The sequence below is a fragment of the Homo sapiens genome, chromosome 7 (genome assembly GCF_000001405.40).
Source record: "Homo sapiens chromosome 7, GRCh38.p14 Primary Assembly".
Lineage (NCBI taxonomy): Eukaryota > Metazoa > Chordata > Mammalia > Primates > Hominidae > Homo > Homo sapiens.
Genome location: NC_000007.14, coordinates 114,491,851 through 114,507,628, shown reverse-complemented (window position 1 = coordinate 114,507,628; position 15,778 = coordinate 114,491,851). Strand labels below are relative to the sequence as shown.

The 15,778-nt window shown below is 32.5% G+C and overlaps 1 protein-coding gene across 8 annotated transcripts in view, besides 1 other annotated feature; it reads right to left on the bottom strand.

Annotated features, from left to right (window-relative positions):
• FOXP2 (forkhead box P2) overlaps nt 1-15,778 on the bottom strand; it is a 607,439-nt gene that overhangs the window by 186,137 nt on the left and 405,524 nt on the right. The gene's annotated exons all lie outside the window — the stretch shown is intronic.
• Nucleotides 4,157-5,552: an enhancer, noted in NCBI's record as "VISTA enhancer hs999". NCBI's record gives its function as "enhancer in: midbrain (mesencephalon)[4/6] | facial mesenchyme[4/6]" and the evidence as "EXISTENCE:transgenic organism evidence [ECO:0001131][PMID:17130149]".

Genomic DNA, 15,778 nt, shown 5'->3' with positions numbered 1-15,778 from the left:
CAAAACTTCAGCTGTGACATCCTTCAGTCATTGAGTCAATGCCAGCAAGCAATGACTTCCAGACTTTTCATTTTTTTGCGAAAAAATTAATTTCCTAATTTGTTTATTTCTCAGTTTTTAACATCTCATTATCCTTGAGATAAGGAATATATTTACAGATCCAAGATCAAGTTCAATTTCAACTTTTGGTCAAATAAAATAAGTATCATCACTCTATGTACACAATAGTGAAATTGCATCCTGGAAAACACATCATCACAATTATGAATAAATAAGTAGTTGTCATTGCAACATTATTTAGAATAGCTTCACTTCTACTTGCTAAGATGGCTTTAAGGAAATCAATGGAGAATTTTAGACTCCTGACAAGAAAGAAATCAGGTAGGATAGATAGATTTTCCATTTTGTCTAATTAGATACACGGCTTCTTAGTTATTGATACGAAAGTTTGTTTTTGGTTTATTTGGGGGGGGTAGGGGTAAGAATCTAATTTCAGAAGAATGTATTACTTCCAGGACACCAACTGATAGTGTTTCTTTGGGTTTTAAACATCAACAGTATTTATTTTTAGAGATGAGTGGTTATTAAAGATTGTTAAATATAGCATTAGGAAACATTTTATATTTTATCCTTAACAGCTCTTTTTACTTTTAAAGGCCTGATATGAAAAATAATTCAATATTCTACGAAGACATTTACTCCTACAACAAGCAGACATACATTAGCCCACAATAAATATAGCTTATAGCTTATATATCTCCTCAAAGCTTTTCTTACATTCAATGTTCCATCACTCACTGAGGAAGCCCTAGTGAGTGCCAACCACTGAGCACTTAATCAATGAAATCAGGCCAGTTCTGGAGCCTTGTGAACTTTGAATTTGTACAATATTTGAAACAATATTATATACATTTAAATTAGGTTGCAATAAATGTGAAATATTTGGTATAACCTTTGATGCTGACATTTAAACATCTTCAAGAAATCTGACTCCATGCAATTATAAAAATAAAAAATGGGAAAACATACTTTGATTAGATATATATGTATATATATATATCTCAAGGGAAAATAAATATCAAATAACTATTCAAAGAGGTGACATGAAAGTGATTAATACAATTTGATAATCCATGATTAAATTTTCCTGTATTAACATTTTGGTAGTACTAATATATGATTTCTGTCTTAGTTTCCATGAAAGTATACTTATATAATTGATACAAGAGTACCATGATTAAGACCTCAGTTTTATGAAAAAATATGAAGACATTTTGGAGTTGCAAGAATTATGCTAACATAAAGACAAAGTAGAAATAAGACAAACAAACAAAAAAGGCAGAAAACTTAGGTCAGATTCACGTAATCTTGCCAAAGTTCATATAGCAATGTATAAGTAACTGATCTTGATTAGTTGGTAAATTGCTCAGTGTCATTGTTCATGTCTCCTTAGTATGAATAAACAATAATCATTACTGTTTTCTTGTCAATATATTTGTTCATTCACTAAGCAAGTATTTATTGAGCATCTGCCAAGTGCTACATACTTTTGCAGGTACTGATCTGACTGGTATTAGCTTTTTTTTGTTGTTTTTTAATGTGGGAGTGGAAGTAGAAAAGATAAAAAGGTTGGTCATTTTAAGGTGTTTCAAAGAGCTAAAAATGGCAAACAGTATATATAAAGACATGTTCAAGAAACAGTACGCTACAAAAAAGTAAGTAGAATGAGATTGCTGGAGTTTGGAACCAGCATAGAAATATACAGCAGGTCTACTACTATGTTCCCAACTACCCCCGCCCTTATACATAAAATACATGACTTTTACATAACAGCATTTTTATCAATTAAAGAGAGGTGTAACTGTAGACTCCTTCTGAACACACAAAAACCCTATAGATCACATAATAGAATATCTACCTGCCATCTATGACGTGGTTTTAAAAATGGTAGAAATGAAGACCCCCCCAAAAGAAGTTGTAACAGGTTGGTAAGGGCTTTCTAGTTTTGTTCTGAAATCAATTAGACAGCACAAAAACTTTTGTGTTGATTTTTTTTTTTTGGAGAGTGATTATCCTAACTTCACCTATTATTTGATCTCTAAATACTACTGAAATAATTTATAAAATTGATAGATAAATATGCATATAAAATTAAACCCCTCTGCATTAAAATAATTAAAAGGAATGAGTGCAAATAATCACAGAAAATAATGAAAAGCCTGACATTTTAAAGGTAATTCAATTTCATTAATTTCAAGTACATATAGCAACTTGAACACTTAAGCTAAGTGTTGCCAAGTAGAAATCCTGCTGACCTGTCTTAATTAACAGAAAAGAATAATTTGTAATTAGCACATTATTTATATGAGAATGAGTGCTCCTACATTAGTTCAAGTGTTTGAAAACAATTTGATTCCTTAAATCCTTCCCCCTATAATCTTGATTTAATGAATAACTTGTTTAATTAATCTGAGATTTATCATATAAATTAGTGAGGTTTTATTCCAAAAAAAGAAACAGAGACAACAAAGGAAAATGGAGAAATGAGAAGTCAGAACTATGTTTGAGGATATGCATATACGAAAATCTAAATGCATGATTTGAATGGATAAGTAACCAACTAATAGTTAAAACAAATCAGTAATTTTTTAATTAAAAGCAGTCAAACTAATTGTGTCTGGAGACTTAGTAGTTCAGGTTGTTCTAGTGAAAAAGCACTAAAGTCAAGGCTGAGTGAGATCCTGAGCATTTTTAAAATCTAATACCAATGCTTTTTACTGAGTCATTTAATCTCTATGTGATAGGGAAAAGAAAGGGTCACAAAGAGGTCATGATTATGTCCACATGATTCCAAACATCTGGATGAAACCTGAAAAATCTATCCACATATTTTATACAGAAAACATCTGTCTATGTGCATAATTTGCTTAGTTTTCATCCAGATGCTTATCATGTTGACATGACATTCTCTGCATGACTCTTTTTCTTTTTTTGGGTGAATATTGATACAGCCTCTTCTCAAATATTTTAATAGGTAAACCGTAAATATAAAAGATGAAATGTATTATAAACACTTTATATAACTTTAGTAAATTTTACTTAAAAATGAGTAAAATATACTGGAACTATTTATAATGTCGACACCAAGGAACAGAAATAACATCAGCTAAATGTGGTATATCAGTAAAATTATGGAATTGTACTTACTATACAAATGTTGCTGGGAGTATAATCTACATAAGTACAGGTGAAAGGCAGATACTATCATCATGGCTCAACACTCTCTTGAGAAATTTAAGTGAAAGAAATGTATAAATGTTCATTGTAAGTAGGGCAAATGGAGAGAAAAAAGTAATAAAAGATTCTGAATAACTGCTTAAAATTATCAATATAACATTTAATGCAGAGTACAGACTGTAAGATTTTGACAAGTAAATTAGAAAAACATAGAAATGGAATTGATTTTTATAGATTACAGTAAAAATTAACTCTGTTACTTTTAAATTAACCTGTGTGAAAAATTATCAAAACATATATTTGCAAAAACTGTGCAATCGCTTTCAAAATATTTTTCCAATATTTTATTTTTATGTACTACCTAGCCATCATATTTGGCATTTGAACTTCCATAAGTTGTATTAAGTCCACATTTTTCTTAATGCTTGTTAGAAATATATGGTCTTTTCTTTAATGAACATTATTATTCATCTACAAATCAATAAAAGTAAAATTTATTTATATTAAATTTTGATATAATTTTAACTACATTAAAATTAGGCTACTAAACAGAGAAGCAGCAATATTGTATTAAGGAACCAGTGGGGACAAAAAGAGCACAGGCTATTTATTAATAAAGTCAATCAGAAGAATAAAATAATATGAAAGTTCATATTGAGGTCCAGATTGGGGGAAAAAGTAAACAACTTTTAACAGCAGGTAAAAGGTGGATTAATTTGGCTTATTTTAACTTAAAAGACAAAATTCCAACAAAGTAAATTATATTAAATAATTATATTAAATAATAATTCCAACAAAATAAATTATATTAAAACAAGAATGAAATATAAAATTAGATATAATAAATGTATCCTTGATGTTGATAGAGCATGATATCCAAAAATAGGCTACTTTTAATATTTTTATATCAAGATATATTAGAGAATAGATGCCCATTACCCTAAAATCAGGATCATTGATCTTGGCTTTGCCATTAGTGTGGTTTAGCCATTGTCATCCTTAGATAGCACTGGTCTACTCTAATGTCTGAGTTTCCACAGATGTTCAGATGGTAATACAATAAAAAAATTTTAAAATCTTTATGATAAATATATATTCCTAAGTTAACTTATTTTCAAAAATTAAAAGAAGGTACTATTTTGTCAGGTCAAATTTGCTGTCACTTGAACCAAAAAAATGATTGAAAAATGTATAAAAAATAGCAGACTGACTCAGGATATATTTTGCTTGAGGAGAAAGGGGATCCAATAAACTTCACAGAAAGAATAAACTAAAACAAAAAGAAGCACAATGGTTTTTCTGTGTGCTACTTTCGGCTGTGCCATGCCTGAGCAGAGGAAAAGAGTTTCACTCCTGTTGTTTATTGATTTTCTAGATTAAGAATCCCAGTGAGAGAATTGTAACAGACAACCATAAAATTATTTTTGGTGTGCTTATTTGCCTTTCCCTTGCATCTATTTGGCCTGTGCCTGTAGACAATTATGCGTTCTAGCCTAGACTCAGGTGCTAATAATGAAGGACAAATAGAATCATATGTGTAAACTTCCCCTTCTGATGAAAATTTATATTAACTTTCTGCCACTGTAAACAGAACTGCATAGCTCAGCGTCCCTGATGAATTGGTGATGAATTCAGTCATTTATATCCCAGGAATCTGTGCATTTATGGGAAAAGATGAAAACCGTCTGTATTGTGTAACCTTGCACTTTTTGAGTAAGAAAAAGAAAACACCAGCCTGTTTAGTTCATCACTTAAAGTGTGTAAATTTCAACTCAAATACCAGATTTCTGCATGACTCTGTCAGTCTCCACTTTGGGGATCTGTGCCAATATAAACAAGCCAAACAGTGAAGAGTGCCATGTTATCGCTACAACTGTGAACTTATACACTTTCAGCCTTCCATAAAAATTGTTATGAATATCTTTACAATACAACAGAATCTTTGTTATATACTGAAGCTGGACAGTTTGACAGTTTGGCAGCTCTGTTGGAGAACAAAGTAATTTGGGATAGATAAGAACATGGCTAGTGTTTTTTCTGAAACTAAAAACATTCCATCCTACTTTTAAAACTATACTTCCAAAACACTGTCAGTTTCTTTTTTAACTTAGCTAGGTTAATGAATGCATATATATGGAATATTCATAAAAGAACAAAATTTCCTTTTTAATATAAGGCTTAACATTAGCACAGATATGCCTTAAGTATGCTGAATGACCAAAAAAATTTACAATATTTACATGCAGAGGTTTATTTTAAGTGCTTTTGGTTTTGTCTTAATATAAACATTTAGGTAAATGCAGTTTTAAACCCCACACTTTAGAAATATGCCGATGGCCTGAAAAATGAAACAGAAAACAAAATATAAGCCTCAATTCACAGATTATTTCTAGACACAATTAGATATGTTGGAGATTTAAGTTAAAATAAGAAAAGGCTACCAAAGCTTGTTTCCAGTTTATTAATATTAAACATTTATCTACATGTAGATTTCTTTCATTTCCCTAAGACTGTTATATAAATGTGTATTATAAAATTAAAGTATTTTCTCAAATTTTTCCATATCCTTACAAGATTTTAAGTTAAAAGATCAATTTAAAAATAATTATGAATTTCACCGTTTTAATCACATGAGAAAAGCAGAGATTGTGTATTACTAAAATATTGGAAAATATAGTTAAGATAAAGTATATTTTATTTTTACTTTAACACTTAAATGTAACTGGATATATTTTCTTTCTATTTGAAAAGAAAATGTCTTTCAAGTCCATGTTTCACAGCTTCAAGGTTGCACACCTTTTCATGATACACTTTATCTCAAAGTTGTCTGTGGCTGTTCCTATCACTCTGTGTGCATGACCTTTTAGTAAGCTGAAGAAGATACAGTTATCTTCTTTTCTGACATGCAACATCTATCAATCAACATGTTTTCATGTAATTTATTCAAGGCAAATAGCAGCTCCTAAGGCTAGTGAACCGCAGCACTATCCCAGTGATTTTGATTAAGAAATGATGTGCACAGCTTAGGTGAGAAATGAAAACCGCACTGGAGTATTGATAAAGATGTATCAAAAATAATAAAATTGAACCAAAGTAACAAATGAATATTTAGAAAAATGAATATACAGGCTTGGCGTAACTAACCTTAATAACCTCGCTTAAAATCTATTCTAATAAATTGGATGATGTTTAAATTGATGAACTTCTAATGATACCAATTTAGTGTACCTTTAGTCTCTGAGGCAAGCATCTGTAGTTCTGTTGGGTTAATTCACATTTTTCTCATTGAATCAAGAATGTAAATTAAGACAAAATGATTCTTTTTCAATTTCATGCTGAAGTAGCTCAAGTTAGTGGATGTAATTTCTCCTAACAAGAAAAATTTATCACTGTAAAGCTCACTCAGTCACCTCCTATAGTGAGTTGTGATATGCATTTATAGAATAGAATGGATAAAAAAACTGATAAATGTGATAAACGAACAGGCCCTACTTCAAGAACAGATAGGCACAATTAAATTAGTTTCAACAATTCCCCATCTTTATCCTGGCTTAAAACATCTTTGCATTAATTGCACTATTACGAATCATAATTACTTTTTATGTGAAAAAATGCTTGTTTGTTTGTCTTTCTCTATGGTAGCAAAACCTCTACTACAAGGAGTAAAGAGGCTTATGTTCCAGCCCTGATTCTACCACTAAAGAGCTGTATTACTTTGGGCAAGTAGTCTTAGACGCCTCAACTTATTCATCTAATCCCTCAAATCTCTGTATCCCTAAGGTTCTTTGAATCTGAATGCTTAATGCTGTGGATAATGATATTTCTTAAAAGAAAGACCTACTTTTCCTCTGTAGATTTTAAATGTAGATAACATATAAAATATAAATGAAGAATACATAATCTAAAAGGAATGGGTTGTATATATTAATATATGTATACATAATATTTTAAAAGTAAATATACAATTTTAAATAGCAGTAAAGACTTCAAGCCCCATGAAACAATGGAATAAGTACTTAGACATCTAGGTTAGGTGACATAAATTCTCACCTTGGTTCTGCCATTAACTAGCCTCACTGACGACGAAAAAATCCTTGAGCCACTATAAGTTTCAGTTTCTCATTTTGACAAGAGTATCTTTATTGACGTTACATTCTTTTTTTTTTTTTTTTTTTTGAGATGGAGTCTTGCTCTGTCGCCCAGACTGGAGGGCAGTTGCGTGATCTCGGCTCACTGCAAGCTCCGCCTCCTGGGTTCACGCCATTCTCCTGCCTCAGCCTCCCAAGTAGCTGGGACTACAAGGCGCCCGCCACCAAGCCTGGCTAATTTTTTGTATTTTTAGTGGAGACGGGGTTTCACCGTGTTAGCCAGGATGGTCTCGATCTCCTGACCTCGTGATCCACCCACCTCGGCCTCCCAAAGTGTTGGGATTACAGGCGTGAGCCACCGTGCCCTGCTGACATTACATTTTTGATTCCATTTTATTAACCCAAAACTATATTAATCCTTTTGAATTCTATTTCCTGGCAAAATTTGGTATAGTTCAGCATCTTCTATAGGCACATAAGTTTTAATGTTATTTGTTAATTAATTAAGCAATCCTTCAACTTGTCGTTAAAAAGAAACTTAAAATGACCATTACATCGCACAAATAAGAAGGTAAGTTAAATGTGTTTTTATTTAAAAAGTAAAAAACCAAGAGAAAAAGTTTTAGAATCAGGACAGTCACATCATTAAGTGTTATATATTTGCTAGAGGTGAGCCACAAATTTAATGCTGAGCTTTCTAACAGCTCGTATGAAGAGAAAATCATAATTAAATTACAAGGTTCATTGTGTAAGATGAAAGGAAGTAAGTTGCTCACAAACAGAACTATTCCTAACAGTGAAATCTGAGTTATATTTTTACCCCAATGGGATCTTAGGTAGCAAACACTGGAAAAGATACTGAACGACATCCCTAAAACATTGTTAAATAAAGTAGCCAATTAAGTATTTTTAAAACTATAGTGCTCCTAAATTTAGGCTACTGATATTAAGCAATTTTATATAGATCCATTATAATGGTGGTAGAGTTATGAGGCTATCAGCAATAACCCTGTACTTAATTAATCAAAGTTAGATTTTAGAGGATTTAATGAAGTGTGTATCCTGCATGCAATCCTCCATAATCACTCTGGGACAAGCTTTTGATAGGTATTGAGCAAAAGTGAGCTGGATCTCATGATTCCTCATAAGTTGCAGTAGTTCATTTCTTCTAGGCCAGTGGTTCTCAAACTTGAGCATGCATCAGAATTACCTGCAGGGTAATTGCTGAGCTCCAACCCCAGGGTTTCTGATTCAGTAGGTCTAGGGAGTGGCCTGAGAATGTGCATTTCTAACAAGTTCCCGGTGATGCTGTTGCTGCTGGTCCAGGACTCACACTTTTGAGAATCGCTCTTCTAGGTCATCAGTTAAGTATAGATCCAAAGACTTTAACAAATAACCTGGGTGTAAGAGACAACATCCTCCTGAGGAAAGAAAGATGCCCAACAAGGACAGTGAAAATGAAACAAAGCCAACCACCCAACATGAAATCATCCTGACATATACCCCCAAAAAAATTATTTGCAAAGTATGCCTATAAAATTAAATAAGATGCTGCTGAATAGCTTATAATTTCTAACCAGTTAAAAATGTGGATTATTAACTAAAATCTTTCTTTTGGTATAAGAATATTTTTCTGTTATTAATTAGATAGTTACCTATTAAGATAACTTATAGTTTGTGATAATATGATGCCATCCTCATATAAACAGACTGTTAATATTCTGTTCCCAGTTACTAAATGTTGCTTCAGTGTTGTTCCTCAATCTGACCTTATATGGCTCTTTAAAGTTAATAGTTTCCTATTTTCCAGTGTTTGTATTGCACTTAACCAGGCTGTATTGTATTTACTTTTTCCATATATATTTTACTTAGATGATTACCTTTCTAAACAAGGAAGGACTGCATTTTCCTTTGCAATTCCTCTGCCTAGAATAGGTAGTCAATAAATATTTATTAAAATGATCTGAACAAGAGGTGCAAATGTTTTTAAGTATATTAAGTAAGTCCAAACCATTGTGGAGCTCATCTAAGGATAGAAACTAAACACAGTAAATGAAATGTTTACACTTCCTGATGGTTATTTTTAAATTTATAAACATAAGTTATATTTGCAGTCTTTTCCTCCCATTATTAAAAACAAAGCTAAGTGAAACCAAATTTAAGAAAGAAAACCTCTATATTAACTAAGCAACGGATTCTGAGAGGTGGTAATTAAGATTTATAATCATTTTATAAGTCAAAAACATTTCGGTATCATAGATAATAGTGGATGTTTCAGAGAATAAAATACAGGACTTGGGGACAAATAGATAAAAATTCAAGTCAACCTGTAGTCATTCAGTTTCTGTAGGCTTGTATTGTACAGTGCTGAGTTTTTTAATCTGAATCTCATCATCTATAAGTGGAGATAATATTGTCTCCATCTTATTCCAAAGGATCATTCTTAGGATAATATGAAATGATGAACATAAATGTCATTTGAACACTATAAAATTGTTCTCTTACCTTTAGAAGAAAATATACTTTAAAGCATGTGGTCTTCAGTAAAATATATGAATACCTCTTGGTCACTATTAAACTATCTAAATGCAACTTTTATTTATTTATTTATTTATTTATTTATTTATTTATTTATTTACTTATTTATTTTTTAGATGGAGGCTTGCTCTTTCACCCAGGCTAGATAGAGTGCAGTGGCACGGTCTCAGCTCACTGCAATCTCTGCCTCCTGGGTTCAAGTGATTCTCCTGCCTCAGCCTCCATAGTAGCTGGGATTACAGATGTGCACCACCACACCTGGCTAATTTTTTGTATTTTTAGTAGAAATGGGTTTTTGCCATGTTGGCCAGTATGGTCTCAAAGTCCTGACCTCAGGTGATCCTGGTGCCTCGGCCTCTCAAAGTGCTCAGATTACAAGCGTGAGCCAGCATGCCTGGCCCAAATGCAACTTTTAAAAGTGACCTTTATGTATTTTCTTAAATATATGTATTCGACCCCAAAATTTTAAAAATAACTTTCTCCAGTCTTAGAATAAAATGTAAACACAATAGGAAAGATGAAAGCTGTTATTGGGCACACAATTAATTTAGCAAAATTTAAACTCTGCTACTGTGCTACTAGCAACATTATTTTACTATGAGTGTGTCAGTAGTCTAGATTACATCACTGTCAATACATAATTATTTTGTACAGTTTGAAATTTACCTATCAACTTTGAACTCATAGACTGAGTAAGCCATTGACTTTCTTTGATCCATTGAGTTCTGCTAGATTCCAAGGTATTTAAATAAGTATTACTACCTATATACAACTTTGCACCACCTCCAATACATATGAACATGTGTAACTTGAGTGTGCTTAGTACAGCAAATTAACAAATATTTAGTAAGTCCACTGAGCTGGACTGGATATTATTGGACAGTAAATAAATATGAAACAGTACAAAACCTTCAAGAAATTAAAAATTTAGGTAAATACTACATATATACCTGAACAGTGAAATAGCAATTTGATATATAAATAACAGTACAGGAAGGAGAGAAATGGTTATAAGATCATTCAATAATATATTTCTTTTAGCATTAGTAACTTTAGGTCTTAAGATGAACCTTCTATACATTTGCTGAAGTTGTGGGTAGGAACTAGTTCAATGTATGATTGTATACTTACATCTTAAAACTCAATTCTATACTTCTGAATTAACTAGTAATTTATGATTATTATCTTTTGTTCATCAGTTTCTGAAAGTTTTCCAAACATTAATTGCTCTCTCTGCCTTTTTGCTAGTTTTATCAGTAAATATGTTACCTTCTGTTGATTAAAAAGAAATGCCAGAGTACTCAATGAACATATAATGCACTGATTGGCATATTCTAGTTTCTACTTTGAGTATTTCATCCTTACAAGTCTAATTTAATTAGATTTTAATTTTTTGTGAATAATTTCTTAAAAATTGGAAGACATCAATTGAAGCATGTACAATTAATATTTTTCCCCATAGCAGAATGAAGCATAGTATTATGTTAGTAGTAAATTCTGCCAAATTTATAGTTCTTTATGATAAACAGAAGTTAATGTTTATCCTTTCATAAGCATAAATATTATCATTTTTCTTTTTCAAAACAGTAGCTATTAATAAGGACACAGTCATACTAGGATTATTATAGATTTTTTTTCTAAAAAGTAAATAAGTAAATGTTTATTTTACAAAATGAATTCACCACTTTTGCTATTCAAATCCATTGACATATATTTAATCTAAAGGAAGTGTATCCTGCCAGAGTCACACATAATATTGGTTTATATGAGGAGAGTCTCTAAACCTGCTCTATGATAATTTAATTTGGCTAAAGAAAAAAAATGTTTTGGCAACTAAAATTCTACTTTAGCTAACAAATAAACATTTATTATCTAGTAAATACAGAATTTATCTCCAAGTCCCACATAACTGAGTATTCAGTTAGGTAAAAGCAAACACTATATAGAAAATAAAAATGTGGCCGGGCATGGTTGCTTATGCCTGTAATCCCAGCACTGTGGGAGGCTGAGGCGGGCAGATCATCTGAGGTCAGGAGTTCAAGATCAGCCTGGCCAACATGGCGAAAACCTGTCTCTACTAAAAATTTAAAAAAATAGCGGAGCATGGTGGCACATGCCTGTAATCCCAGCTGCTCAGGAGGCTGAGGCAAGAGAATTGCTTGAATATGGGAGGCAGAGGTTGCAGTGAGCTGAGATTGCAACATTGCACTCCAGCCTGGGCAACAAGGGTGAAACTCTGTCTCAACAATAACAAAAAAAAAAAAAAAAAAAAAAAAAAAAAAGAGAGAGAGAAAGAAAAAACAAAGAAAAAAAGAAAATAAAAATGTACCAAAGTTGCTGAAAGTCTGAAAAATTTTTTGGTTGAGAAAATACATTACAGCAGTTACTATAATACTTGGAATTCTATTGAAAATCTTAAATATTAATAAAACAAATATTTTAATGAAAATACTGTATTTGGTGTTTTCTGCAGAACCTTGCAATTGCAATGAAGCATATCTTGGAACAGACTGTGATTTAAGGACTGCAGGGGATATACAAGCCTCTGGACCCACATGCTGACCTGAAGACAACCAACACATTCTAGTGCACATCAAATTTAACTTTGATCAAGTATTCATAAAAGCTCCAGGCTTGTTACATTTTACAGTTTGTGTATGTGGTAAGGGGTAAAGTAAGAAATGAAAACTTTCATGCCCTCTCTGTAGTACATATAACTGATTGTGTGTGTAATGCTACCTTCTCACAAAGAACTTCATAAGAATGGTGAACATTACTGTGTTGATAAAACCATGCCACCTGTCATTATTAGAATGAAAAGGTGAATGTTTCAAAAATGTAAGCAATGAAAACTAAAGTAAAACAAAACTGATATGGCCTTTGTTAAATGGCAGAATTTTAAGAGAAGTTAAGCATCATTCCAGGCATAATCATTTTATAGAAATATAGCAACATGTCATCAAAATTTTACCGCGTTTTTTTCATATAAATTTCAGTGGCATGAGTCTTTGTTAACAGAGATATTAGATTGGTTTCAATTTTTAAAATTATTCCAGAATTTGCAATATTATTAATTTTATACAAATAACTCTGAGGGCAAATACATCTTCCATTGTTTTTAAATGTTCTGATATTCTATAAAATATGGATTTTTATTATCACCTTCTTTCTAGTAATTACTAGCGGTCTGAGAAAACTTGGTCCAGATTACTTTAGTTTTCAATGTTTATTCCACAGTTTTCTTGGGTGCTGGCCAAGGATAAAAAGAGAAATATTGTTTTAGCAGGTCATGGTGGCATGCATTTGTAATCCCAGCTACTTGGGAAGCTGAAGTAGGAAGATTGCTTGAGCCTAGGATTTGGGAGGCCAGCCTGGACAACACATCAAGGCTTTATCTCATAAACATACAAACAAGAAACAGAGAAAGAAATACTGGTTCAACAGTATCATAGTCTGAATTTGAAGCAAAAATTGTGGTGGTACTGAACTGCAACTTAGGAGTAATTTCAAGGCAGTTTCTTTTCAAATTATGTTATGAATATTCTAAGTATCAATACTTTAAGTTTTTATAAAGTTCTACTTTTTATCACTTTGGGCAAAATGTCTTAAACTTTACTTTGTTATTGCAACATCAATTTGGTAAAATATGTATATCTCTTGACATTTAAAAAAAAGTAATAATTAAAAAGTTACCTCTAATTGTCTAAAAATAATCCTCTGGTATTCAGAAATATGTTAATTCAAAAACCCTCATTCTGACAGCATAGAAAGAAGAACTGTTGACATTAGAATTATAGAACAAGTTTTCTGTGAATTAAAGACAAATAATAATATTTAATTCTATTAGATAATTTCTTCTTATGGTAACATCCTGTCAGAAAAGACTACTTTTACAATCTCCATTTCTTCACAAAAAGAAAAAAAAAAAAGGCCACATTGTCCCAAAGTGTCTCCATGATGCAGAAAGCATCCACAACGTAGAAGGGCACAAATCTATTAAAGATGCTTTGTTTGCATATAACTTTTCAGTTTTCTTTAGTAAATCCACTTGTGTGTAAGAGTGTGTGTGTATGTGAGAGAGACAGAATGAGAGAGAGAGAGAGAGAGTATGTGTGTGTGGGTGCGTGTGAGATAAAGTGCTTCTGGGTATTTTCTCCCTGTATAAATGTACTTAGTGTTTTGTACATAAATGATATTGATCTCTGTGCATTTCTAATAGACTTTTTAGAGCACATTTAGGAGCACAGCACTATTGAGTGAAAGGTACAGATTTTTCATATACCTCCTGTCTTCACAGAGTGATACGTTTGTTATAAATTCTGAACCCATATTGACATATCATTCTCACCCAAAGTCCATAGTTTATATTAGGGTTTTCTCTTGCTGTTTTACATTCTATGGGTTTGGAAAGAGTCAAGACCCATCAGTGTGCTGTATTCAGGAAACCCATCTCACGTGCAGAGACACACATAGGCTCAAAATAAAGGGATGGAGGAAGATCTACCAAGCAAATGGAAAACAAAAAAAGACAGCGGTTGTAATCATAGTCTCTGATAAAACAGACTTTAAACCAACAAAGATCAAAAGAGACAAAGAAGGCCATTACATAATGGTAAAAGGATCAATTCAACAAGAAGAGCTAACTGTCCTAAATGTATACGCACCCAATACAGGAGCACCCAGATTCGTAAAGCAAGTCCTTAGAGACCTACAAAGTGACTTAGACTCCTACACAATAATAATGGGAGACTTTAACATCCCACTGTCAACCTTAGACAGATCAAGACAGAAAGTTAACAAAGATATCCAGGAATTGAACTCAGCTCTGCACCAAGCGGACTTAATAGACATCTACAGAACTCTCCACCCCAAATCAACAGAATATACATTCTTTTCAGCACCACACCACACCTATTCCAAAACTGACCACATAGTTGGAAGTAAAGCACTCCTCAGCAAATGTAAAAGAACAGAAATTATAACAAACTGTCTCTCAGACCACAGTGCAATCAAACTAGAACTCAGTATTAAGAAACTCACTCAAAACTGCTCAACTGCATGGAAACTGAACAACCTGCTCCTGAATGACTACTGGGTACATAACGAAATGAAGGCAAAAATAAAGATGTTCTTTGACACCAACGAGAACAAAGACACAACATACCAGAATCTCTGGGACACATTCAAAGCAGTGTGTGGAGGGAAATTTATAGAACTAAATGCCCACAAGAGAAAGCAGGAAAGATATAAAATTGACACCCTAACATCACAATTAAAAGAACTAGAGAAGCAAGAGCAAACACATTCAAAAACTAGCAGAAGGCAAGAAATAACTAAGATCAGAGCAGAACTGAAGGAAATAGAGATACAAAAAATCCTTCAAAAAATCAGTGAATCCAGGAGCTGGTTTTTTGAAAAGATCAACAAAATTGATAGACCGCTAGCGAGACTAATAAAGAAGGAAAGAGAGAAGAATCAAATACACGCAATAAAAAATGATAAAGGGGATATCACCACCGATCCCACAGAAATACAAACTGCCACCAGAGAATACTATAAACACCTCTACGCAAATAAACTAGAAAATCTAGAAGGAATGGATAAATTCCTGGACACATACACCCTCCCAAGACTAAACCAGGAAGAAGTTGAATCTCTGAATAGACCAATAACAGACTCTGAAATTGAGGCAATAATTAATAGCTTACCAACCAAAAAAAGTCCAGGACCAGATGGATTCACAGCCGAATTCTACCAGAGGTATAAGGAGGAGCTGGTACCATTCCTTGTGAAACTATTCCAATCAATAGAAAAAGAGGGAATCCTCCCTAACTCATTTTATGAGGGCAGCATCATCCTGATACCAAAGCCTGGCAGAGATACAACAAAAAAAGAGACTTTTAGACCAATATCCC